We start from the raw sequence: 27,070 nt of genomic DNA, 5'->3' as shown, positions 1-27,070 counted from the left end.
CTGGGATTACAGGCATGCGCCATCATGCCCGGCTAATTTTGTATTTTTAGTAGAGACGGGGTTTCTCCATGTTGGTCAAGCTGGTCTTGAACTCCCAACCTCAGGTGATCCGCCCGCCTCAGCCTCCCAAAGTGCTGGGATTACAGGCGTAAGCCACCGCGCCTGGCCACAAGTCAATTATATTTCTATATGCAAGCAACAAACAACTAGAAATTACTTTTTAAAATATTTAAAACCACATCACAAAACATGAAATTTTTAGGGATAACTTGGGGATAAATTTGTATTATAAATATGTCAGAATGAAACAGAAGAATGTGGAGAGAGAATGAGGTGACCTAAATAACTTTGTGTAATGGTGTTTTTACTAGATACTGTACAGCTAAAGACAAAAAGAACTATACACAAACACTGTATGCTAGCTAGTAAATTTGTTTTTGACAAGGGTATAAGTTAGGAATTCTGAGACCATTTTACATGTACACAGAGTTTGAACAGATAGGTAAATATGCTATAGACAATGATAGCAAGATTTCTCTCTGCTTAAGAAAGAAGTCACAACTGACCGGGCGTAGTGGCTCACGCCTGTGATCCCAGCACTCTGGGAGGCCAAGGTGGGTGGATCACCTGAGGTCAGGAGTTCGAGATCAGCCTGGCCAACATGATGAAACCCCGCCTCTACTAAAAATACAAAAATTAGCCAGGCATGGTGGCATGTGCCTGTAATCCCAGCTACTCAGGAAGCTGAGGCAGTAGAATCACTTGAAACCGGGAGGCAGAGGTTGCAGTGAACCAAGATCATGCCACTGCACTCCAGCCTGGACGACAGTGAGAATCTATATGAAAAAAAGAAAAAGAAAGAAGAAAGAAAAGAAAGGAAGGGAAGGAAGGGAAGGAAGGGAAGGAAGGGAAGGAAGGGAAGGAAGGGAAGGAAGTCATAACTAAGCAATGAGGGAGTGCTAGAATAAGTTCTGTGGGGCAGGAGGTGCAGCTTCATTTCCATCTCCTTGAGTGAGAACTGGACTTAGTGACTCACTTCTGATGGACAGAATATGAAGACAGCTGTTTTTACAGTGGAGCAGACACCATCTTAACTCAGAGGTCTGGCTGACATCACCATGAATAAGACATATCAATATCATGTACGCCCTGCAATGACGTGATGATAGGGCAATCACCTCTGTGGTGTTCTTCCCCAAAATCCACACCCTCATTTGAAAAAACACCAGAAAAAAACAAGTTGAGGGACATGGTACAAAATGCCTGACTTGTACGCTTCAAAAATGTCAAGGTCATGAAACACAGGAAGGAGAATAGAGAAACTGTCAACAGTTAGGGGGAGACCTGGGAGATATGGTGAGTAAACGTAACGTGGGATTCCGGCTTGGATCCTGGAACAACGACAACAACAACAACAACGACATTAATGGGAAAACTGAGGAAATCTGAATAAAGACTGTACTTCTGTTATAGTATTTTACCAATGTTAATTTCTCAGTAAGTGTATCATAGTTATGTAAAATCTTAACATAGAGGAAGCTGGGTAAAGGATATACGGGAATTTTTTGTACTGCCTTGGCAACGCTTCTGTAAATCTAAAATTATTTCAAACTAAAAAGTAAAAACAGGCCAGGTGCGGTGGCTTACACCTGTAGACCCAGCACTTTGGGAGGCCAAGGCAGGAGGATCACTTGAGGCCAGGAGTTCGAGACCAGCCTGGCCAATATGGCAAAACCCTCTCTCTACTAAAAATACAAAAATTAGCTGGGCATGGTGGTGGGTATCTGTAATACGAGCTACTGGGGAGGCTGAGGCACAAGAATCGCTTGAACCCAGGAGGTGGAGGTTGCAGTGAGCCAACATTGTGCCACTGCACTCCAGCCTAGGCGACAGAGCAAGACTCTGTCTCAAAAAAAAAAAAAAAAAGTATAAAAATATAAAATACTTAGGGATAAATTTAACAAAATATGTGAAGACCTCTACATGAAACTTATAAAATATTACTGATTGCTTGGTGCTTTATTATGCTGAAAAAAGAAATAAAATTTTAAATAAATAAATGTTGCTGAAAGAAATTAAGGAAGACATAACTAAATGCAGAGCTATGCCACATTCATGGATCAAAAAAACTAAACATTGCTGAGATATCAATTCTCCCCACATTGTCCTATAGATTTAATTCAATCCCAGTAAAGAAAAAAAAAAATGCCAGCAAGCTTTTTTTGAAGAAATTAACAAGCTGATTTTGAAATTTATATGGAAACACAAAGGATCCAGACTAGTACAGGAATTTTGAAAAGAAGAACAGAATTGGAGGACTTGTACTACTTGATCTCAAGATTTACAAGCCTATAATAATCAAGTCAATGTAGCATTGACATAAAGGCATACATCAGTGGAAAAATAGAAAGCCCAAGAATAGACCCACACATGTGGTCAATTGATTTTCAACTAAGGTGTAAGAGACAAGTCAATAGGGAAAGAACAGTCTTTTCAATAAATAGCACTCAAACAATTGAATAAGCAAGTGTAAAAAAAAAAAAAAAGAACCATAACCTTTATCTGACAACATATTTTTAAAAATTAATTCGAAACAGATCACAAGGCTGGGTGCCGTGGCTCACACCTGTAATCCTAGCACTTTGGGAGGCCAAAGCAGGTGGATTACTTGATCCCAGGAGTTCAAGACCAGCCTGGGCAATATGGCAAAACCTTGCCTCTACAAAAAAAAAATACAAAAATTAGCTAGGCATGGTGCGAATGCCTATAGTCCCAGCTACTCGGGAGGCTGAGGTGGGAGGATCACTTGAGCCTGGGAGATGGAGGCTGTAGTGAGCTGTGATCATTCCACTGCACTCCAGCCTGAGTAACAAAACAAGACCCTGTCTCAAAAAGAAAGAAACAGATCATAGCCCCAAATGTTAAATATAAAACTATAAAACTTTTAGAAGAAAATATAGGAGATAGAATTTGGGAACTTAGGCAAAGATTTCCTAGATACGACATGAAATGCACAACTCATAAAAGAAAACAATTGATAACTTATACTTCCTCAAAATTCAAAACTTTCGCTCTTCAAAAGACACCATTAAGGCTGGGTGCAGTGGCTCACGCCTGTTATCCCAGCACTTTGGGAGGCCAAGACAGGCGGATCACCTGAAGTCAGGAGTTCGAGACCAGCCTGGCCTGCATGGCGAAACCCCGTCTCTAATAAAAATACAAAAATTAGCTGGTCGTGGTGGGGTGCTCCTGTAATTCCAGCTGCTTGGGAGGCTGAGGCAGGAGAATTGCTTGAACCTGGGAGGCGGAGGTTGCAGTGAGCCGAGATCGCGCCACTGCACTCCAGCCTGGGTGACACAGCAAGACTCCCTCTCAAAGCAAAAAAAAAAAAAAAAAAAAAAAAAAACACAAGGAATTATTACTACATATTTATTACATATACATATTTATTAGAATGGCTAAAATTTTAAAAACTGATCAGACTAGGTGTTGTTCAGGGTGAAGGAACTGGAACTCTGAAACCTCGCTGCTGGAAATGTGAAATGGTACAGCTAATTTGGAAAACAGTTTGATCCTTTCTCTCTCTCTCTCTGTCTCTCTCTCTCTCCTCTCTTTCTTTTCCTTTATTTTTTTTTTGACAAGGCCTTGCTCAGTTGCCCAGGCTGGAGTGCAGTGCTGCAATCATAGCTCACTGCAACCTCAAACTCCTGCGTTCAATCAATCCTCCCACCTCAGCCTCCCGAGTAGCTGGGACTACAGGTGTGCACTGCAATATCTAGTTAATATTTTTACTTTTAATAGAGATGGAGTCTTGCTATGTTGTCCAGGCTGGCCTTGAACTTCTGGATCCAAGTAATCCTCTCACCTCAGCCTCTCAAAGTGCTGGGATTACAGGCATAAGCCACCACGCCCAGACTTGATCATTTCTTTAAAAGTTAAATATACATACCTCATGACCCAGACATTCCACTCATGGCTATTTATCTACAAGAAATGAAAGCATATGTCCACACAACTTGTACATGAATGTTCATAGGAGCTTTATTTGTAATAGCCCAAATCTGGAAACAACCCAAATGTCTATCAACAGGTGAAGGGATAAACAAATTATGGTCTAGCCATACAATGACATATTCTTCTGTAATAAAAAGGATAAACTACAGATACACACAACAACATGGATAAATCTCAAAACAATTATGCTGAGTGACAGAAGCCAGACCACACACAAAAACGAGTACCTTCTGTATGATTCCATTTAGATAAAATTCTAGAAAATACAGATTAATCTACAGTGACTGCACGTGGTTGCCTAGGGAGAGGGTGGGGTGAAGGGAGGGATGACAAAGGGGCAAGAGGAAAGTTTGGGGACGGTAGATGTACTTGTTTACTTGATTGTGGTGATAGAGTTTCATGTGTGATGCATACATGTGTCAAAACTCATCCAAGTGCACCTTTTCAATATGTGCAGTTTATTGTATGTCAACTGTACCTAAGAGAAGCTGTCAAAAACGTAATTTTAAAAAAGGAAAACCAAACCCAACCAGGAAACTGTGTACTTCTCACCACTGCCACTGTGGCCTGCCAGGCCACCCCCAGCTCCCTGGCCCCCGCCATTGCCTCTCCTCTGAAATACCTCAGGGGCCTCCTTCCTGGCCTCCCAGCTTCTGCTTTGACCCCCTCAGGCCATTCTCAACAGAGTAGACAGCAATCCTGTGAACACAGAGATCAGGGCACATCTCTGCTCTGCTGAAACCCTCGCAGCCCCACTGCCCTTGGAGTACGAGCCCATGTCGCCACAGGGACCATCTGGTGGTCCCTCGAATCTCTTCCTCTCTGTCCCCCTCGCTCATTCTGTCCCAGCTGCACTGGCCTCCTGGCTGTCCTCAGAACGCTCCGGCCACGCTCCCACCTGGAGCCTCTGCACGGTTGTTCCTTCTGTCTGGAATGTTCTTCCCCAGATACCCAAATGTCCAACTGCCTGTGCAACTTCAGGTCTTCATGCATATGCCACCTTCTCAGAGGGGCCTGCCCCTCCATCACTGTCCCCTCTACTCCTGACACCCCTTTCCCTGCTCCACTTGCCCACATATCATACTATGTAAAATTAATGCACTGCTTTTTTTCTTTTCTTTCTTTTTTTTTTTTTTTGAGACAGCATCTCACTCTGTCACCCAGGCTGGAGTGCAGTGGTGCAATCTCGGCTCACTGCAACCTCTGCCTCCTGGGTTCAAGCGATTCTCCCACCTCAACCTCCCTAGTAGCTGGGATTACAGGCGCAAGCCTGGCTAATTTTTTGTAGAAGAGACGGGATCTCGCCATGTGGCCAGCCTGGTCTCGAACTCCTGACCTCAGGTGACCCACCCGCCTCGGCCTCCCAAAGTGCTGGGAGTACAGGCCTGAGCCACCGCGCCTGGCTTTTTTAATGTTTTGTTGTTGTTGTTGTTTGTTGGTTTTTTTTTTTGAGACAGAGTCTCTCTCTGTCACCTAGGCTGGAGTGCAGTGGCATGATCTCGGCTCACTGCAACCTCCACCTCCCAGGTTCAAGCGATTCTCCTGCCTCCGCCTCCCTAGTAGCTGGGATTATAGGCGTGCACCACCACGCCCAGCTAATTTTTTGTAGTAGAGACCGGGTCTTACCATGTTGACCAGCCTGGTCTTGAACTCTTGACCTCAGATGATCCGCCCACCTGGGGCTCTCAAAGTGGTGGGATTACAGGCATGAGCCACAGCGCCTGCCTTTTTTAATGTTTAATTTTTTGTTTTGTTTTGAGACAGACTCTCTCTGTCACCCAGTTTGGAGTGCAGTGGTGCAATCTCTGCTCACTGCAACCTCTGCCTCCTGGGTTCAAGTGATTCTCCTGCCTCAGTCTCCTGAGTAGCTGGGATTAGAGGCAGGTGCCACCACGCCCGGCTAACTTTTGTATTTTTAGTAGAGACGGGATTTCACCATGTTGGCCAGGCTGGTCTCAAACTCCTGACCTCAGGTGATCCACCTGCCTCAGCCTCCCAAAGTGCTAGGATTATAGGCGTGAGCCACCACACCCAGCGAGTTTATTGTAAAGCAACAGAGGAGCTAAAGGGGGCCTGCCGTGGCAGAGCTCTGAAGGCAAGTGGGCTGCACACAGACCACAGCGTCTATACTCACTCGCGCAGGCCTCAGTCCTGCTGCCCCATCACAGGGAGCCCAGCAACGCTGTAATTCCCCATTCTTCAGGACAGAAATCTACCATGACCACAACTAGTGTGAGTTCCCCTCTCCCTCCCTCAGGCATTTGTTAATTCAGCAAGTCTTTGCGGAAGGCCTGCTGCTGCTGATGGGCCCAGGCAAGGCCCTGGGGGACTCGGGAAGAACTGGAGGCCCGCGGTGCCCTCTCTGTCACCTGCCAGCCACCAGAAGCCCTGGGAGGCATGGCTTTCCATCTCATTTTGCAGACGTGAAAGCGGGTCTTGGAGGCATGGGGGCGGCCCCGCTCTGTCCACCGCCAGCTCCTCCAGTGTCCTTCCACCTCCCAGGCTCCCAGCATTCCTTTTTCCAGGTCAACCTTAGCCACATCCCTCACATGTCTGGAACCTTGCCCCCTGACATGGGTCTCTGCTGCTAAGTCCCCCTTCTGTCTGCCAGCCACCCTACTGCTGCCTGCCTGGGCCACCTCATGCCCTGTGAGCCCCTCAGGGTCTGCCCTATGGCTGAGCCCACTCTCCCTCTGCCTTCTTGAAAGGTTCCCACCACCCTGGGCAGTCCTGGGTGGCTGCTATCAGGAGACCTAGTGAAGAAGGGGCTGGGGGCCTGCCGGAGACATGGTCTCTCTCATCCAGATTTTCACGGCACTCTGGGAGGGCCCTTCCCTCAGGCTTTCAGGGTGCCAGATGTCCAGTTGGGGGTCTAGGTTCATGTTCCCACTCTGCAGCTCACCACAGGCAACCTTAGCCACATCTGTCTCCCTCCAGGCCTCTCAGCTCAATTCCCTGTAAAATGGAGTACCCATACCAGTAAATTTCAAGTTCCTTTCAGATGTGTGCGCCTGTGGCTTCCAGAAGCTCTACAAGAAGACAGATGCAGGGTGCACTCTGGAAACTTGGACTGTGATCACAAGTCAGCCCACTGTCCTCTCCCAAGCTCCTTCTAATCCAGACCTCTGTTGGGTGAGGCAGGAGGACCCCAGGATCCCCACCATGCAGATGTGGAAGCTGGAGCTCGGAGACGACAGGCTCCCCAGGACAATGGCATAAACAGAGGTGACAGAGCTGGGGCCATGGTTGCTGACCCAAGTTCTGTTCCCTGTCCTTCCCCCGTTGCTGCCTCCCCAAGCCAGGCCCTTCCTGGGGGGTCTGTGGGAGCAATGGACCAGGTAGGATGGAAAAGCTGCTCCTTGCTCCCCTTGCCCGCTCCTCCCCAGAGCCACATTGAAATTTCCCTTCTGGAATGACCCTTGGGGACTAGTGCGAGCAGGTATCAGCTCCAAGAGTAAGGGATGAACCTGCCTCGTCTCCTCTGTCTTCCCAACATGTGCCTCGGCGCCTGGCCTGGCACACAGTATGTGCCTGCTAAATATTTGCTGAGTGAGCGGCTGGAGGGTGGCCCTTGCTATGGGCTGGGTGGCTGTGGTCAGCTCCTAATGATCACTCTGACTCCAGAAATAATCCCAGGTCCCTGGGGTGTGTGCATAGCCACCCACATGCCTGCTCACTGCCTCGCTCACTGGTTCGCTGCCCTCCATATGTCCCAAATTCCATCTAGACCAGCGTTTTTGCAGCTCAATGGAGTGAAGAGCAAACCATTTTTTTTTTAATTTTTTTAGAGATGGGGTCTCACTCTCTTGCCCAGTCTCGAATGTAGTGGTACCATCATGGCTCACTGCAGCCTCTACCTCCTGGGTTCAAGCAATCCTCCCAAATAGCTAGGACAACAGGCATGGGCCACCACACTTGGCTAATATTTTTTTTCAATAGAGATGGTGTCTCACTAGGTTGCCCAGGCTGGTCTTGAACTCCTGGCCTCAAGTGGTCCTCCTGCCTCGGCCTCCCAAAATGTTGGGATTACAAGCGTGAGCCACCACATCTGGCCCAAGGTTTTTAAAAACCAATTCTTTGCAGACCAATACTTCTGTAACATACAATAAAAAACAATTACTAAAAATGATTCACAGTCTTGGAAATTGCAGCCACATCAAATTGTTACAGGAGTTTCTAGACTATACTTGTCTAAGTTCTGTACTCATCTCTGACCTTGCTGAGGATCAGTGACAAACAGCGCAAGGAGGTCCCACTCTGCAGACCTCGCTCAGAGGGTACTGCTCTGGGTCTTGTCATTTTAGGTGATTACATCGCCCCTCCATTCCTATTTTGCCTGACAATCCCTCACCCTGGCTCCTGCACACCCGATCTATCACCAACTGCCTTCCATCGTAATGTTTTGCTGGTGGGAGCTCTCCTCTCTGGCCCCCAGGCCAGTACCAGCTCTCCTGCTATCAGTCTTTCCTCCACCTGGCCAGGATGAGCTTGCTAAAGGTCTATAGGGTTCCATCACCCCTGAGCTGAAATCCTTTGTGGTTCCCCATTAGGACTCCCAACTCTTAAATCTGGCATTCGAGGTGGCTCACATGCCTGTAATCCCACCCTTTGGGAGGCTGAGGTGGGCAGATCACTTGAGGCCAGGAATTTGACATCAGCCTGACCAATATGCTGAAACCCTGACTCTACTAAAACAAAACAAAAATTGGCTGGGCATGGTGTTACACACCTGTAGTCCCAGCTACTCGGGAGGCTGGAGTGAAGGACGTTGGAAATAGGTGGTAATAACACCCCTACCACTTCCTGAGTGCTCACTGTGGGCCAGGTGCTTTCTACCTAAAAGACATGCATATCTACTCGCTGAGTTCTCATAACTGTCAGTATGGAGCAAGAGATGGCAGGCAGGCCTGATTTAACTACAATCTGCAGAATCCATACATGCCCTGCAGTTAAAAACCAATGGCTCCTGGCCTTTCTTCTTGTTTTTCTATATTTTCTAATTTGCCAGCAACAAATATGTATCACATAGTTTTGTTTTGTTTTGTTTTTTGAGACGGAGTTTCACTCTTTTTGCCCAGGCTAGAGTGCAATGGCCCAATTTCAGCTCACCGCAACCTCTACCACCCAGGTTCAAGTGATTCTCCTGCCTCAGCCTCCCAAGTAGCTGGGATTACAGGTGTGCGCCACAACACCAGGCTAATTTTGTATTTTTAGTAGAGATGGGGTTTCACCATGTTGGCCAGACTGGTGTCGAGCTCCTGGCCTCAAGTGATCTGCCCGACTTGGCCCCCCAAAGTATTAGGATTACAGGCATGAACCAATGCGGCCAGCCTATCATGTGGTTTTTGACACTGGGTTTTATTTATTTATTGTTTTCTTACAGAGGTAATCAAGTTAGCCAGTGGTTTTTAACTTCAGGGCATGTATGGATTCTTCAGATTCCAGTTAAATCAGGACTGCCTGCCATCTCTTGCTCCATTCTGGCAGTCATGAGAACTCAGCGAGTAGATATGCATGTCTTATAGGTAGAAAGCACCTGGCCCACAGTGAGCGCTCAGGAAGTGGCAAGGGTGTTATTACCACCTATTTCCAATGTCCTTCACTCCAGCCACTGCCTGACTTGTTCTCAAATCTCTCCTCTTCTTCCCTCCCTACGACCCATCCTAATACAGGTTGTCATCATTTTTCACCGGTGTTAACACTCCAGCCCCTGGCCAGGTGTGGTGGCTTATGCCATCAGGATCTCAGGGAGGTGGGAGGGTCACTTGAGGCCAGGAGTTCTAGACCAGCCTGAGCAATATAGTGAGACCCCCCCCACATCTCTACAAAAGAATAAAAATTAGCCAGACACAGAGGTGCATTCCTGTAGTCCAAGCTACTCTGGAGACTGAGGCAGGAGGATTTTTTTAGCTGAGGAGCTTGAGGCTGCAACGAGCTATGTCACGCCACTGCACTCCAGCCTGGGCAACACAGCGACACCCCATCTAAAAAACAAAACAGTATCCTAATCTCCTAGTGGGTCTCCGGCCTCCACTCTCCAGCACCTCCCTCCCTTCCCCATCAACCACGCAGCTGCCACAATGCTTTGAGAGTGAACTTGGGGAAAAAAGGCTGACTGTTCTGGGCACAGTGGCTCACGCCTGTAATCCCAGCACTTTGGGAGGCTGAGGCAGGTGAATCACCTGAGGTCAGGGGTTCGAGACCAGCCTGGCCAACATGGTGAAACCCTATCTCTAATAAAAATACAAAAATTAGCTGGGCATGGTGGCGCGCACCAGTAATCCCAGCTACTTGGGAGGCTGAGGTGTGAGAATCGCTTGAACCTGAGATGCAAAGGTTGCAGTAAGCCGGGATCATACCACTGCACTCCAGTGGTGACAAGAGTGAGACTCCGTCTCAAAAAGAAAAAAAAAAAAATAGGCTGACTGTGTCACCACCACTCTCCTCACCCTTCTTAAACTATCTCCCAGCCGGGTGCAGTGGCTCACTCCTGTAATCCCAGCACTTTGGGAGGCCGAGGTGGGCGGATCACTTGAGGTCAGGCGTTCAAGACCAGCCTGGCCAACTTGGTGAAACCCCATCCTTACTGAAAATACCTAAGTTAGCCAGGTGTGGCGACACGCACCTGTAATTCCAGCTACTCAGGAGGCTGAGGCGGGAGAATCGCTCGAACCCGGGAGGCGGAGGTTGTGGTGAGCCGAGATCACGCCACTGCACTCCAGCCTGGGCAACAGAGCAAGACTCTGTCTCGCTCATGGTTCCTGACTGTCCTTAGGATAAAGTCCAAGCCTGGTACATAAGCCTCTACCAAACTTTCTAGAGTTACCCTAACCCCTCCCCTGTTCTCCACATCCTAATTCCAAAGTATCTTGCATGCCAAGTATCTCGCCTTTCTCCCTAATTTTCCATGTGCTTTCCCTTCTCTGAACCTTTGCTCACACATCTCCCTTTACGTCAAGACTCAAAAGTTGGCCGGGCGCGGTGGGTCACGCCTGTAATCCTAGCACTTTGAGAGGCCGAGGCAAGCAGATCACGAGGTCAGGAGATCGAGACCATTCTGGCTAACACGGTGAAACCCCGTCTCTACTAAAAATATAAAAACTTAGCTGGGCCTGGTGGCAGGTGCCTGTAATCCCAGCTACTCGGGAGGCTGAGGCAGGAGAATGGCGTGAACCCAGGAGGCGGAGCTTGCAGTGAGCTGAGATGGCGCCACTGCACTCCAGCCTGGGCGATAGAGCAAGACTCCGTCTCAAAAAAAAAAGACTCAAAAGTCACCATCAGGCCATTTTCCCCTCTATTCAATCCCTTCTCTCTCTGTAAGGTTGCACCCAAACATCACCTCCACCGGGAAGCCCTTCTCCGTTGCCCCCAGACACAGCTGACTTTGCTGAGCAACCCCAGCCCCATGGCCCCAGCCAACATGGTGAAACCCAGTCTCTACTAGAAATACAAAAATTAGCCGGGCATGGTGGCAGGTGCCTGTAATCCCAGCTACTCAGGAGGCTGAGGTGGGAGAATTGCTTGAGCCTGGGAGGCGGAGGTTGCAGTGCCCTGGACACTTTATAAGACTCTTGTGGGTCCCACTGACCCCACATTGCATCAAGCATGTTGAAATGTACCCACGTCACATGCTACATAGAACTGGTTGGCTATAAACAAGTTTTAAAGAGTCTTTTTTATTTTTCATTTAAAATTTTGAATAATTTCTCTGTTGCTATTTTTGTATACTTTGGAGCTGGAGTTTTCTTCTTTAGTTCTTAAGCACTTTTGTGGCCCAATAAAAAGTCTAGAAGTGATATGCTTTGTCCAAGTTTGGGGAAAAAAATAAATTAAAAAAAAAAAAAAGGCCAGGTGTGCTGGCTCGCGCATGTAATCCTAGCACTTTGAGAGGCTGAGGTGGATGGATCACCCGAGGTCAGGAGTTTGGGACCAGCCTGACCAACATGGTGAAACCTGGTCTCTACTAAAAATACAAAAATTTGTATTTTCGTATTTTTACAAAATACAGGCATGGTGGCAGGTGCCTGTAATCCCAGCTACTCAGGAGGCGGAAGTGGGAGAATTGCTTGAGCCCAGGAGGCAGAGGTTGCAGTGAGCCAAGATCATGCCACTGCACTCCAGTCTGGGCACCAGAGTGAGACTCCATCCAAAAAAAACCACTTGGCCAGGCAAGGTGGCTCACACTTGTAATCCCAGCACTTGGAAAGGCCTAAGCGGGCAGATCACTTGAGGTCAGGAGATGGAGACCAGCCTGGCCAACATGGTGAAACCCCATCTCTACTAAAAATACAAAAATTAGTCAGGCATAGTGGTACATGCCTGTAATCCCAGCTACTCAGGAGGCTGAGGCAGGAGAATCGCTTGAACCTGGGAGGCAGAGGTTGCAGTGAGCCGACATTATACCATAGCACTCCAGCCTGGGCAACAGAATGAGACTCCATCCAAAAAACAAACAAAGCAACTCTATAGTCCAGGAGCCTCCAATGTCAGGCATTCACTGTCTCCATCCCAGTGCTCATCGCTCTCTGTGTCCCCAAAATGAATAAATTCGTAAATTCCCCTAAAAATCTATCTTTAATCTCTCTGAATCTAATATGATGCAACTCACATTATTTCTGTATCTGTCAACTGTGTCTCTATAAGATACTTCTGTAATTTTTATCTGTTCTCTCTAAAGATCTCTGTTCACAACACACTGGGTGTCCAGCAGGCACGGTCGAGAGCCTGCCATGGCCCATGTGTTACCGTTCTTGAGCCTTGCAACAACTCATGAATAAATTCTATTATCCCTGTTTTACAGATTAGGAAACTGAGGCTGAGAGAGGGGAACTAGCTTGCAAGTAAGAGGCCACAGGGCAAAGAAGGGCTCTCAGGAGTGTTGACTCTAGTCCTTCTCTAACCTCTCTCAACCCCTCCTCTCAGTGGTGCTGCACCCATGCCAGCCGCCACTCCTTACTTGCTCCTTTTCCTACCCTCTGCTTCCAGGCAAGACGCAGATGTCATCTCCGTTCATACCCTTCATCTTGCCTCAACATCATCACCCCATTCCATCCCATAAACACTTCCTGAGTTCCTACTATGTGCCAAGCGCTGTGCTGAGAACTGGAATGAAAATAATGAATGCCAAGGTCACCAGGCTATGAGCTCCGAGGGCAGGGACAGAGCCCACAGCAGAGTTGGTGGGTCCTCATCAGCCCCTGTGAAGTGCCTGTGGTCTCCATATGTTCCCAAAGGAAGCTGGTTTCACTTTGAGCATGTTGGAGAATGTTATTTCAAACACCTTACACCTCCAAAGCCAGGCAGGGAGCCCTGGGCTGCCCCTCCTCAATGGTGTTGGCTTATTCCTCTGGGTGGGGCCTGTGTCCAGCAGCCCCTGGGCTGGTGACACCAACCACCCTAGTGCCCTGCACAGACTGCAGAGGAACACAGGGTCAGCACCATCTCGAGGGGCCCAAAGCCACCCTCCTGATAACCCCCCATATTTGGAAAGCACTTTAGTTTGCAAAAGGCTCCACCTTCTTTCTCCGTGTGTCCTCTCCCCACCCCAGCTATAAGTAAGGAATTTTCCCAGCCCACTTGGCCCCTAGCATCCAAGTTTGGGCAAGAACCCAGGAGTCCAGACTCCTAGCCCAATGTAGAAGAGCCTGCCAACTCTGTTTACTCCACAGTGCCCCAGAAAGGCCCTCTCTTTTCTAGACCTCAGCTCCCTGTCAGTACAATAAGAAGGTCCGGCTGGACAACCGCTAAGCTCCCTTCAGGCTTTAGCATGCCAGAGTCTACCGTGGGGGCGCAGGTGGCCAACTCCCAGGGGAGGAACCGAGGCCAGTGGCTGCACACACTGTGCCTGCACCATGCCGTCAGGGGAGGCATCATGTTCCGGCAGGACCAGCAGGATGAGTCACCAGATATGGAAATGACGCTGGCACACAGGAGGTCTGGGGGCCAATAAGCTCACCCTCGCCAAAACCACAGCTGAGGAGGAACAGTGCTGGGATCCCTGCGATTCGCCTAGCGGGCACAGGCTGCCAGGTGCAGATCCAGGCAGTCAAATGGTGTGCACAGTGTGCCTTCCAGCCCAAGGGTAGTGGAGGCTGCCCAGCCCTCCAATAACAATAATCATCACAATAAAAATAACAACACACAGTGGTTGGCTATTGTGTCGGGCACTTGACACCTGTTACCTTCTCTTACCTCTGAACCTGCCAGTTATGACATGACCCATTTTCAAGAGGAAACCCCGGGGCTCAGAGAGACAAAGGAGCTCTGCCCAGGTCACAGGGCCAAGGAGTGGGGCACCCTGCTCTGACTGCCCCAAAGCCCTCATCCTCCGCACCCCACTGCCTCTGCGTCCCACAGAGTCTAGGCTCATTTCGGCTCGGTGGCCAGCCTGAGGCCCTGGGGAGGGGAAGGGGTGTCAGGACGCCCAGGTGCAGATGACCTGGGAGGATTCTGACTCAGCCCCACAACTGGAGCAGGAGAGCACCACACCCTCCTAGGCCTCCTGGAGCCTCGCCAAGGCCTTCCTTAGGGTATGACATTCGGATGTCAGGAGACCTGCTGGTCCTCAGTGACCACAGGCCAGGCTGAGGCTGCCACAGGGGCCTGAGCTGACGAGGAAGGCTGAGCCCCCTGTGATGGCCGACAAGCTCCAGCATCCCCACACGCAGGCGGCCAAAGGTGCCTGCAGCCACCCGGTAGAAATGTGTCTGAACTGGGCCTGGAGCCAGGCAAGTGGGGCTCCTGGATCCTGGGACAGAGGGTACAACTCAGGACCCCAGGCTGGCACTCCACAGCACCATCCCCAGGGCATTTCCCACAAGGAGCACCTGGATCTCTCAGCAAAGATGGGGGCAGACTGGGAGAGCCCAGGAACTCAGGGCCAGCTGCCCAGCAGGCCCACCTCGGGGTAGAGGGTACGGCCGTCTGGGAATGAGGGAAGACAGAAGGGGGAGGCCCTGGGTGAGGGAATGACAGGAGGGGGTCTTCATCTTGTGTAGGGACGGGGGCGCATCTGTGGTGAAAAGCAGGACCCATCTTGGGGCGGCGGGTCCTCCTACCAGGGCGGGCTCCTGTACCAGCCAGACCCTAATGCCCTGCCTTTGACATCTCCGTCTCAGCCCCCACCACACCTCTCCTCTCCTCTCCTCTCCTCTCCTCTCCCTCTCTCTCTCCCTCTCACATTCCTCTGGGAGTCGATCAGTGCTTGAGTGACACCCCAGATGACTCTTTGCTATTAATTCCCACACACAGAATGGGCCCCTTGTTCTCTTCTCTCGGAGGAATGGCCGTGGCCAAAGCCATCCCAAGAGTCCCTGACTTAACCCTTCTCCTGGCCGGTCCTCTGCACATCCCACGCCCAGGGCCACAGGGCCAGCAGTAGGGAGGGTGCAGAGAGGGAGTCTGGAAGGAACAGGGGCTCCTTCCAGCCCACAGCCCCTGGAATAAAGTCCCCAGGGTGGGACAGCAGGACCACCCCAACCTGCCCAGGGAGCCTGACAGCAACTCCTCACCTGAGGTTCTCACCAGGCCCTGGAAGTCAGAAGGCCTGTCCAGATGTAAGTGTGAGGCCCAGGGTCCACAGCCTCCCCAGGGCCAGCCTGATGTCTCTGGACCCCAGGGAGGCCCCTTCAAGGGGCAGGTGGAAGGCTCAGACCCTCGGCCCGGCCCTGGCCTTGAGGGAGTTAACACGGACTGGAGGCAGGACACCACCTGTCAGGGCAGGTCTCTGAGGAGAGATGAGGCGGCCATGGCCTCTTTTGATCACAGGATAAATTGCTCCGTTGAGTAAAAGCCCAACATCCCCTCATTCCCTGCCCCTGCCCCACCCCCAATCGACCAGAGGCGGGAAGGAAAGGCTTAGACAATGAGAGAGAGGGAAGAGCTTGTGAGGAGAAACTGAGGCCCCGGGAGGGGAAGAACATACCCCTCCACTCCCACTTCCCACCCTCTCCCTGCCTCTTCCCCAATTCCACAAGCCGTCTTGGCTCTCTGGGCGCTGGAAAGCTCTCACCGGAAGGGGACACAAACACCTGCTCTTCCATCAATCTGGGCAACCCTGGCTCTCGCGCCAGGAGATGGTACAAATCCTGCGGTCCATGACTCTGTGAGGGTCGTGTCCTAGGGAGGCTCGGACGCATCCTTACCTCCTGCCTGTCCCCCCTCGACAGACGGTGAGCTGTGGGCTCACAGGAGGTGAGGTCCCTGGGACAGCCAGAGAAAGGGCCCCGGGGCAGTCTCAGGGAAGCTGGAAATGGGAAGAGGGAGATGCGGAGCTGGGCACAGGCACGAGGGAGGGGCAGGGTGACCCAGGGCATGCAGGGGACAGAGCCGGGTGTCCTGGGGAAGGTAGGCTGGAGCCAGGTGGGGAAGACTGCAGGTTGCCACAAGCCTTGGCTTCTCTAACTTGTCAGCTCTCCCCATCTCTGTCATTTTCCCAGGGTCCTCCCCACATTTACAGAGGCAGGGCAGATGAGAGGTGGCACAGGACAGAGACAGAGAAATTCATGGAGGGAGGGACAGAGAGAACGCATCAGGGAGAGAAAAACAGGGAGAGACAGAGACAGGGCTGGAGAGAGACAGGGAGCCAGGGCAGGAGGGCCAGGACAAGAAGGACACCAAGAGGCAGGAGCGACCAACTGTGGGATGTGGGGTCAAAATTAAAAAGCTTCCCAGAGAGAGGAGGCTGGGGACAGAAAGAGGAGAAGGAGGGAGCAATGGACAGAGAAAGAAACAAGGTGGAGGCCGAAGTGGAAAAGAAGGGAGAAAGGTCAGGGGGAAGAGGCCTTCAGAGGAGGGGATGGAGGGGAGACTCCGGCTGGGAAGCTCAGGGCCCTCCCAGGCCCCTCTGTGTTTGTTCCTGGCAGGTCCACAGCACACACCCTCCCCAGGCAGCACCCTGCTCCCTACGGCCTGCCACCTGTGTCCCAGCTGGCCTGCCACCTGTGTCCCAGCTGGCACCCCAGAGGATGCAGCCAGCCACTGCAGCCCTTGCCTTCCCGAGTAGGACACAGGAGTGGGGTGGCCTGCCCTAGGGGTGGGAGTTTCAAGGCTGGGGAGAGGCCCTTAGACCATCTATGGCAGTAGTGCCTCCACCAGGTGCGTCGTAATCGCAGCGGAGATTTAAACATACAGATGTCCCACCCAAATCTACCACTCAGAATGGGGCCTGGGAATTAGTCTTTTAAAACTCCCCAAGGGCTTGTGTTCTTTGGCCCCAGGTTTGGACCACATTGGCAGATGAGGAGAATGACAGTGGCCAGAGAGGGGCTGTGCCCCACCCAAGGTCACACAGCAATTACTGACAGAGCCCAGCCTTTCAGTGAGGCCTCCCAGGTCCCACCCAGGGCTCTTCCTCCTGTTGAGTGACACTGCAGCTAGGTCTGCACAGGGCTGGGCACACAGGAAGGGTGTAAGTGGGCAGTGCCCTCTCCCTCTCGCTCCATCCCTCCTGCCTCAAGGCCCCAGCCAAGCTCTCCAGGGGCTGCCAGGGCAGTCCCCAATTTCAGGCCAGAAACCAAATGAGGGAGAGGAAGGGATTTGCCCAGAACTGGATTTCTGTCCCCCACTGCCCCGCCCTTGTCCCCCTAGTGCCAAGGCCTGGGGCTGTGAGCTCTCTCGCCAGAGATGGGGGCGGAGGGTGGGGCAAAAGGGAGGAGGGGAAGACCCGGGTGCTTCCTGTTCCCCCCTCTTTCCCTGCCTCCCTGGGCTCAGGGCTGGGTCCCCTGGGGCAGTGGTATCTGAAGCTGACAGATCTGCCCTGTCCTTCCTGCCTGCTGGGGGAAGGGGTGGAGCTGGCTCAGATCCCCCATCCCCTCCTCCTCTTCCCTAGGTCCTCAGGGGCTTGGCTGCCCATTAAACCCAGCCTGGTCCCCCAGGGTGTCCCTGCTCCAGAAGAAGGAAGAGCACTGGACTAGGAGTCACGACCACCTCCATCAGTGAGAGGCCCTGGACAGCCTCATCTAACCCTCAGCCTCCTCCTCGCTCTTTATTTTTTGAGACAGGGTCTCACTCCTGTTGCCCAGGATAGAGTGCAGTGCCACGATCATGACTCACTTCTCAGACTCAACTTCCCAGGCTCAGGTGATTCTCTCACTCAGCTTCCCGAGTAGCTGGGACTACAGGCACACACCACCACACCCAGCTGATTTTTTTTTTTTTTAATTTTTAGTAGAGATGGGGTTTCGCCATGATAACAAGTAGAAAGGGGGTTGCCCAGGGTGGTCTTCAACTCCTGGGCTCAAGCGATCCACCAGCCTTAGCCTCATAAAGTGCTGGGACTACAGGTGTGAGCCACTGTACCTGCCTCTCCCAGCTTTTTACCCCCCATTCTGTCCTCACCACTCATTCATTCATTCAGGCAATCAGTTGATCACTGAGGACTTAGGAAGCTGCCCTCATGAAGTAGACATCCTTGTGGGGAAGACAGACAATGAACAACTAATCCGCCAATAAATATGTGATCATAAATTGCAATGAGTGCTATAAAGGAAAAGTCCAGGGTGCTGTCAGAGAAAACAGCTGGTACTGGAGGGTCGAGAGAGGCATCTCTGTAGACATGAGCTTTAGGTGATCCCCCAGGAGGAAGTCTCCCAGCAGGGAAGGATGTGAGGGGACTCTCCATGCAGCGCTAAGGGAATGACAGACCCAGGAGACAGACCTGCCAAGCTATCTCTCTGATCACTGAGGTTCAGCAAGCACTTATTGAGCATCTGCTGCGTGCTCACATGTCCAACCCCGAGCACTTGGGGGACAAAAGGTGGGAAACAAAAGCAAATGTGGGCCTGTCTCAGTAGAGCCCTAAAGCCCCTGACAGCAAATCTGATAGACGTCAGAGGCCAGCTCCCTCAATGCACTGATGGAGAATGTGCCAGAGAGGGTGGCTGGCTTCCCCAAGATCACACAGCAGGAGCTGGGACCTTGGCAGAGTCGGAAGCAGCTCCTCCCATTGCACCTGCCAAAGCAGTCACTGCGATTTCAACTCTGGGTTCTAAGCCCTAAACTCTCTGATTTCTCAATTTGCCACCTGGTAGAGAGGTGAGGTAAATATAAAACACCTGTGCAGGTGGCGCACACCTATAATCCCAGCATTTTGGGAGGCCAAGGCGGGAGGATAGCTTGAGCTCAGGAGTTCAATGAGACCAGCTTGGGTAACATTGTGAAACCCTGTCTCTACAAAAAAATACAAAAATTGGCCGGGTGCGGTGGCTCACGCCTGTAATCCCAGCACCTTGGGAGGCCAAGGCGGGTGGATCACCAGGTCAGGAGCTCGAGACCACGGTGAAACCCCGTCTCTATTAAAAATATAAAAAATTAGCCAGGCATGGTGGCGGGCACCTGTAGTGCCAGCTACTCAGGAGGCTGAGACAGGAGAATGGCATGAACCCGGGGGGCGGAGCTTGCAGTAAGCCGAGATCACTCCACTGCACTCCAGCCTGGGCGACAGAGAGAGACTCCGTCTCAAAAATAAATAAATAAATAAATAATAGCCAGGCGTGGTGGCTGGTGCCTGTGGTACCAGCTACTTGGAAGGCTGAGGTGGGGGATCGATTAAGCCCGGGAAGTAGAAGCTGCAGTGAGCCGTGATGGCACCCCTGCACTCCATCCTGGGCCACAGAGTGAGACCCTGTTTCAAAAACAACACAAAACAAAATAACACCTGCTCACAGTGAAGCACACACAGCTGAAGGTGAGCTGGGGTGCGTGTGTGTGAGGCCCTCAGCCTGGCAGCCTAGCAGATATTATACTTCCTGTGTGAACCGAAGCCCCTGACATGTGAACACACCCCAGGGCTGTGCCTGGGTTCCCTGTTGTGATCTCAGTAAGCTCAACTCTGCACCCTAGAAAGGGAAGAGGTTTTCCCGGGCTTGATTATAGACAAGACAAAAGCCATCACACCTGGAAAATGCGGGGCATTAACTGGCAGTTGAAATGACTGAAAGAGGCAACTACTAGGTCTTGTTTTTGTCAAAGGTGCTAGGCTGAGCACTTGCCATTCCTTACTTCTTTTGAGACGGAGTCTTGCTCTGTCGCCCAGGCTGGAGTGCAGTGGCGCGATCTCGGCTCACTGCAAGCTCCGCCTCTCGGGTTCACGCCATTCTCCTGCCTCAGCCTCCTGAGTAGCTGGGACTACAGGCGCCCGCCACCATGCCCAGCTAATTTTTTGTATTTTTAGTAGAGACGGGGTTTCATCATGTTAGCCAGGATGGTCTTGATCTCCTGACCTCGTGATCCACCTGCCTCGGCCTCCCAAAGTGCTGGGATTACAGTCGTGAGCCACTGTGCCCGGCCCTTTTTATCCTTGTGACATGGCAGGTATCGTGATTCTCATTTTACAGACAGGAGATTGAGGCATGGGAAGGTTACTTAGCTTATCCCAGTCTCACTGGTAAATGGGGCAAGGGCCAGCCTTGAACTCTGGTCTCTGGATCCCCAGCTCAGCTCATCATCACTCGGCTCCCATTTTCATTAACAAGTGACATCAGCGAAGAATAAGAAAACCTTATGTCGGCGAGGAGGATCCTTCAAGCTCAGACAAACGCTAAATTCTGACTGGATCACCCCATTTTTACCTTTAAGGGACAGCAGTAAACCGGGTGAGAGCAGTAAGATGGGTGGGCTGAGCTCCCTTCCTGCCCAGCCCTGGTCTGGGGCAATGGCCTGGATCACAGAGGAAAATGACAAGGAATCTGGAATGAGAAGACTTGGTCCCATTGTCGTTGTCAGTTCCTAAGCTGGGCAACCTTGACAAGCCCCTTCCCCTAAGCTGCCAGCTGCCTGCCAGTGGTGAAAGGACAAAGGTCTCATGAGCCATGTGCAGCCCACCCTGCTCAGACCATATTTACAGACAGCTCTTTTCCACTCCAGGGACAACACCAATGGACCCATCTCATAAAGGTCCCCTCTGCCCCCTCTCTTCCTTCCCTCCACCTTCCCCACTCTCTTAATCCTCATGCATGTCTGCACCATGTTGCCTAGTGTCTAGACATGTATGAATGAACAAGCTCCCTAAAGACAAGGGGCACACTCACCCCTCTTTATTTACCCCACAGACAGCAGGAGCTTGCCTAGGGTAGGTCCCCAGGAACCCTGGGAACAAAATGTCACAGCAGACATGTCCAGTTCCATGACTAAACAGTCATGTGAGCTCAGTCACTTGCTTCCCCTTCTGCTTTGGTTCCATGGATGGCCATCGGCCCTGGCTCTGCAGCCTCTGTGGTGACTGGGAGCAGACGGGGAACATCTGATGACAGCATTTTGACAGGATAAGAAGCAATAACTAATATAAAAATTAGCCGGGGGGCGGGCACGGTGGCTCACACCTGTAATCCCAGCACTTTGGGAGGCCGAGGCGGGCGAATCACCTGAGGTCTGGAGTTTGAGACCAGCCTGGGCAACATGGTGAAACCCCATCCGTCTCTACTGAAAGTATAAAAATTAGCAAAGCATGGCGATGTGCACTTGTAATCCCAGCTAGTCGGGAGGCTGAGGCAGGAGAATTGCTTGAACCTGGGAGCCAAATGTTGCAGTGAGCCAAGACCACACCACTGCACTCAAGCCTAGGCAACAGAGTGAAAGAGTGAGACTCTGTCTAGAAAAAAAAAAAAAGAAGAAGCAATGACTACTCTAAACCCAAGGTCAACCAACAGCCACCTTGGCGGCAGATCCCCAAGCTGCTGGTAACAATAGCTACCATTTACTGGGTTCCGTCATGTGCCAGACCCTGTCTTAAGTGTTTACATACCTTATCTGCTTTAATCCTCACCACAACCTGGAAGGAAGCTGAGACTCAGAGACCTTAACTCATTTGCCAAGGACACACAGCTAATAAATGGAGGTGTCAGGATTCAAACCTGGAGCTAGAGCCAGGCATGGTGGCACACACCTATAGTCCCAGCTACTCAGGAGGGTGAGGTGGAAGGATCACTTGAGCCCAAGAGTTTGAGACACCATCTCTAACAATGTTTTTTTAAACCTGGACTGTCTTAACTCAGGAGCGCATGCTCATTCCTTCCCCACATGCTGCCTGCACACATTCTCTTCCATGCAAGCCCTTCATCTGCTGACGTCACTCCTATGTAACAGGCACCACGGAGGAGGTGGGAAGGACCCAGCCCTCAAGTCCACACCCCAGCAGGGACAATGCAGGAGGACAATGAGAACTCTGAAGGCATGGGAACACAGGGAACTGGGGGTCAGTGCCATATTCTATTCAGCTGCTTCCCTGGCCTGACACTGAGTAGTCACCTGGTACACGTCAAACAGGTCTGAACGGAGTTGGAAACCAAGGCAGGGTGACCCCAAAGTAAGGAACATGCACATCTCACTCAGGGGCCATGGTGCCTCCACATCCACCTCAGGCAACTATGTCCTCTCCAGAACAGGGTGAAACTGGTTTCCATCAAAAACTCTACAAGATGTTAATAGGTGGTAAAAATAATAGAATAATAAATTAAAGATTCATATTAAATATTTTAAAGAGCAGTTTTTAACTGCAGAATTTAGAACTTTTAGCATGCTTAGAGGCAATGCATCTCTTTTACTTAAACAGTTTAAAAAAAATTTGTTTTAAATAATGGTGGCCAGGCGCAGTGGCTCACACCTGTAATCCCAGCACTTTGGGAGGCTGAGGCAGGCAAATCACCTGAGGTCAGGAGTTCAAGACCAGCCTGGCCAACATGGTGAAACCCCGTCTCTACTAAAAATACAAAAAACTAGCCGGGCATGGTGGCATGCGCCGGTAGTGTCCCACCTACTCAGGAGGCTGAGGGAGGAGAATTGCACAGGAGGTGGAAGTGGCAGTGAGCCCAGATCACGCCACTGCACTCCAGCCTGGGCAACAGAGCCAGTCTCAAATAATAATAGTAATAATAATAACAATGGAAACGGGGGTCTCACTATGTTGTCCAGGCTGGTCTCCAGCTCCTGGACTCAAGCAATCCTCCCACCTTGGCCTCCCAAAGTACTGGGATTACAGGCGTGAACCACCACGTCCCACCCTTACATCTCTAAAAAGAGGAAGCAGAAAGCAGTGTTTCCCAAATGTCTTTCAAGAGATGCCTATCAGTGTCCTGAGGAACACCAAGGGTCTGAGGCATCACGAGGCATCACCTTGCAAACACTGGATCAGGCACGGGCCTCTTGTTTTGAAATACAATTCATGGGTTATCAAATATGGAAACACTCTCAGAGATCAGCTAGCCTGCTGATTTTACATTGTACAGATGGGGAAACTGAGGCCCAGAGAGGGAAGAAGGTTGCCAAGGCAACACAGGGCCTCCACAGCCATTGGGTCTTGACCCCAGCTCTTGGGGTCCAGAGGCCCAGCTCCAGCTGCCTGTTTGGCCGTGCCAGGTTCCAGGTTTCTACATCGGTCTCTCCCATCAAACCCTCAGCTCCTCAAAGCCAAGGTCTGGTCTCTCTCACCTCCCAGTCCCAGCTCCTGGCCCAGTGCCCTGCACAGAGGACACATTCACAGAAGTTCCCAGCAGCTGGAGAGGCTCAGGGCAGACGCCAGGAAGGGCATTCCAGCAGCTGGGGACAGATGGCAGGAATGGGCAGTCAACTTCTCTGAAGGCTTCTCAGAAGAGAGCAGAGGCCAGGCTGCCAGAGGCAGTGCTGGACACTGGCCCCAGCTTCCTGGTTTCCAGAAAGGATGGAGTTGGGAGCGAAGGAAGATTCCAACCCCGGGAGCTGCCTTGCTGGCCTGGGTCCGAGACCCTCTGCTTGCACCAGAAACAGGGAGGGGCAAGAGCCCCTGTTGGGACAGGCCATGGAATGCCATCCTCCTCCCCCAGAGCTCAGACCCTCTGCCTCCAGGAAGCCACTCCTGCCCGCTCCAGCCTCCCTGGTCTTTTCCTCCTTGGAACTCTGACAGCAACTCGGCTCAGGGAAGGTGAGCCGAGGCTGAGCATGGCCTCAGGGGCTCCCAATAGGAACTGGAGACTGGCCTGTCCTCCAGGCTGTTCAGTAAGGAGGCAGAGCACATCTGAAGGTGTCTCCTCCTCTGAGGGAAAGTCATAGGGAAAAGAATTCCAACCAAGGTGCCCAAGGTGTGTCCTGGAAGAGGACCTCTCAGTGGGGCTGCAGCAGTGCCTAGACCGCCAGCAGGCAGAGGGAGGACAGCGCTCCAGGGGAAGGTGGAGCAGGCCCAAAGGCCCAGGCAAGGAGAGGAGGCAGGAGCAGGCCAACCTGCAGCTGCACTTGCAGCCTAGGGGCAATAGAGCAGAGTGGTCAGAGGCTGGGCTGGGACCAACCACAGGTCCCAGTCCACACCCTGTCATCATTCGCTGGGCGAGCTCAGGCCTGTCACTGAATCGCTTTGTGCCTCAGTTTCCTCCCTAAAATGAGAATAATAGCATCTACTCAGAGGGTTGTTGGGAGGATGAAGTCCGATGACAGGAGCCCTCACAGCTGAGCCGGCACCTGGGGAGGCCCTAGAGTGTCGCCTTCGCTGTTAAGGGGCATGGCAGAGGAGGCCCACCCATGACAGAGGAGCTTGTCATCCCAAGCAGGAATGCCACCTGGTCTGACATTAGGATTCAAAAGGCAAATGATAAACTCCTGACTGTGAGGCCGTGGTGGCTGCTCGGTTAATACTTGTGCACTTGACCTGAGGTGAGCATCCTCCACACCTCCCAGTGCTGGCCTAATAGCTAAATGATTTCCTCTGACTCACATTTATTGAGCAGTCACTATGCTAGGTAGGGGAGATGTGTGTGTGTATTCTTATTTAATTCTCTCATCACTTGGGGATATCAAGGGTGCATAAGATTATCAACATCGTACATATGCAAAAGCCGAGTCCTGAGAGGTTAATAGCGTGATCTGCCTAAGGCCCCTTGGGTACTAGTGGCAGGATTTCTTGACTTCAAGTCACTTTCCACTACATCCGAGACTGAGGATGACACAGCCTTATCCAAAGGTGGAGGTGGCCTAGAAAATGCTCAGGGGAGCTCCCACAGCCACCCCAGCGCACTCAGACTCGGCTGAAGACCCACAGGGTAGCTTCTGTCTGTCACTATGCTGCCCTCGACCACTAACCTGTGCCCGTCGGCCCTCCACCTTCCCAGTGCATAGGCCCTCCCCTGCCACACCCCAAAGCTCTCCGGATACCCCAGTATAACCTGCCTGGCTGGTGGGTCCAGTACCCAAGACCCCTCCTCCATCCCTGGTGATTTTGGCTCTGGAAGGGGGTCATTCACAGCCTCAGGGATCCAGAGACTCTGTGAAGACCTCCCAGGGAACTTTATGCTTGTACCTCAGCCCCAGAAATTCAGAATCAACCAGTCTGGGGTGGGATCTAGGCTCCAGTATGTTTTTTTGTTGTTGTTGTTGTTTGTTTTTATGAGACAGAGTCTTACTCTGTCACCCAGGCTGCAGTGCAGTGGTGCGATCTCGGCTCACTGCAACCTCTGCCTCTTGAGTTCAAGTGATTCTCCTGCCTCAGGCTCCCACGTAGCTGGGATTACAGGTGCGTGCCACCATGCCCAGTTAATTTTTGTATTTTTAGTAGACATGGGGTTTCACCATGTTGGCCAGGCTGGTCTCGAACTCCTGCCCTCAGGTGATCTGCCCGCCTCGGCCTCCCAAAGTGCTGGGCTTACAGGAATGAGTCACCACGCCTGGCTCAGTATGTTTTTCTTTTTTTCTTTTTTTTTTTTTTTTTGAGACAGAGTTTCGCTCTTTTTGCCCAGGCTGGAGTGCAATGGTGCAATCTCAGCTCACTGCAACCTCCACCTCCCGGGTTCAAGTGATTCTCCTGCCTCAGCCTCCCAAGTAGCTGGGATTACAGGCGCCTGCCACCATGCCCAGCTAATTTTTTTTTTTTTTTTTTTTTAGTAGAGACAAGGTTTCACCATGTTGGCCAGGATGGTCTCAATCTCTCGACCTCATGATCTGCCCACCTTGGCCTCCCAAAGTGCTGGGATTACAGGTGTGAGCCACCACACCCAACCAAGGCCCAGTATGTTTTTCTTAACTCCACAAGTGATTGTAAATTCAACAAGAATTAGAGCCAGTCCTAGGCAACTGATTAGAAATGCAGAACCTCAGGCCCCACCCCAACCTGAAGAATCCCAGTGCGCCTTCCCATTTGAGAAGCACTGCCCTACGCCAAACCCCGTATCCGCAAGCCAGGCCCTGTGAAAGGCCCCCGCAGGGAAACTGGAGGTAGGAGGGCACACAGTCCAGATAGAATTAAAGAGTGGAGGCCAGGACCCCCCAGGTCGCATCCACACAGCACTCAGAGGTGCTAAACGCTTTCCCTGTGTTCCCTCATCCCATCTCAGCCCTGTCCTCTGAAAGTCAGGAAGACAGTCTCATGCCTGTGTGGGGAAACTGAGGCTGGGGCAGAGCCTCAACTTGACCAGACCATCCCTCACTCCTGCATGGCCCCTGGTTCTGCAGCCAGCAGATTTCCTGACCTTCATCTCAGTGTATCCTTCAGGGCAGGCAGGGAGGGAGGGTGACCATCGCCCCACGTGACAGGTGAGGGACCAGGGACCCAGTGGGGGAACACAGGCGGAGCCTTCCATAAAGCCGGACCAGCTCCCTCAGGAAGAGGACTTGGGAGCTGGGGGGTGAAGGGTCACTGCTGACCGGAGGCAGCTCTGCCAGGCAGTGTCATCAGTGGGCTTCACGTTTGACTGACAGGTATTCCTTTCCTCTCCTCCTCTCTGGGGCCCATCTTCTGAGTAAATCCGGGACCTGCCTTAACAAAAGCCAGGCTGAGTCCCAGGAAAACCCTGTTGCTCCGGAAAGGCCTCCTTGGGCCATGGAAGGAAGCCTGGATTTCCACCATTACACTCAGACCGCAGACCCCTCTCTGCTGCAGAATAAACACCCTGAGAGAAGGCAGGTCATAGAGCCTACCAGACACCACACCTTGCCATGGACGGTGACAAACCCTCACTTCAGGACAGAGAGGTGATGGGGGGTGGGGTAAGGAGGTCACAAGCATCCCTGGAGAAGGGTCAAGAATGAGGGGGTAAAGGGACCCCTGCCACCCCCAGCAGGGAAAGGAGGAGAAGGTGACACTGGCCCTCCTGTTGTCCTGCTG

General features: G+C 51.6%; 1 protein-coding gene and 1 non-coding gene across 4 annotated transcripts in view, besides 3 other annotated features; both read right to left on the bottom strand.

The window, feature by feature from the left end:
- Positions 1 to 27,070, bottom strand: part of POLR2F (RNA polymerase II, I and III subunit F) — an 88,253-nt gene that overhangs the window by 27,907 nt on the left and 33,276 nt on the right. The gene's annotated exons all lie outside the window — the stretch shown is intronic.
- Positions 14,817 to 15,671: an enhancer, noted in NCBI's record as "VISTA enhancer hs486". NCBI's record gives its function as "enhancer in: heart[4/10]" and the evidence as "EXISTENCE:transgenic organism evidence [ECO:0001131][PMID:17130149]".
- Positions 15,133 to 15,427: a silencer, noted in NCBI's record as "tiled region #3171; K562 Repressive non-DNase unmatched - State 23:Low". NCBI's record gives its function as "represses a minimal TATA promoter and a strong SV40 promoter by Sharpr-MPRA in K562 cells {active_cell/tissue: K562}" and the evidence as "EXISTENCE:reporter gene assay evidence [ECO:0000049][PMID:27701403]".
- Positions 16,822 to 17,383: an enhancer, noted in NCBI's record as "H3K4me1 hESC enhancer chr22:38392633-38393194 (GRCh37/hg19 assembly coordinates)". NCBI's record gives its function as "activates a minimal SCP1, AML or CMV promoter by ChIP-STARR-seq in naive H9 embryonic stem cells {active_cell/tissue: H9 hESC(naive)}" and the evidence as "EXISTENCE:reporter gene assay evidence [ECO:0000049][PMID:30033119]".
- On the bottom strand, positions 25,156 to 25,215 carry MIR4534 (microRNA 4534). Its single transcript, NR_039759.1, has one exon. It is a non-coding gene; the product is annotated as a microRNA 4534 (primary transcript).

Source organism: Homo sapiens, chromosome 22 (genome assembly GCF_000001405.40).
Source record: "Homo sapiens chromosome 22, GRCh38.p14 Primary Assembly".
Taxonomy (NCBI): domain Eukaryota; kingdom Metazoa; phylum Chordata; class Mammalia; order Primates; family Hominidae; genus Homo; species Homo sapiens.
This window is presented reverse-complemented; position numbering and strand designations above follow the sequence as displayed.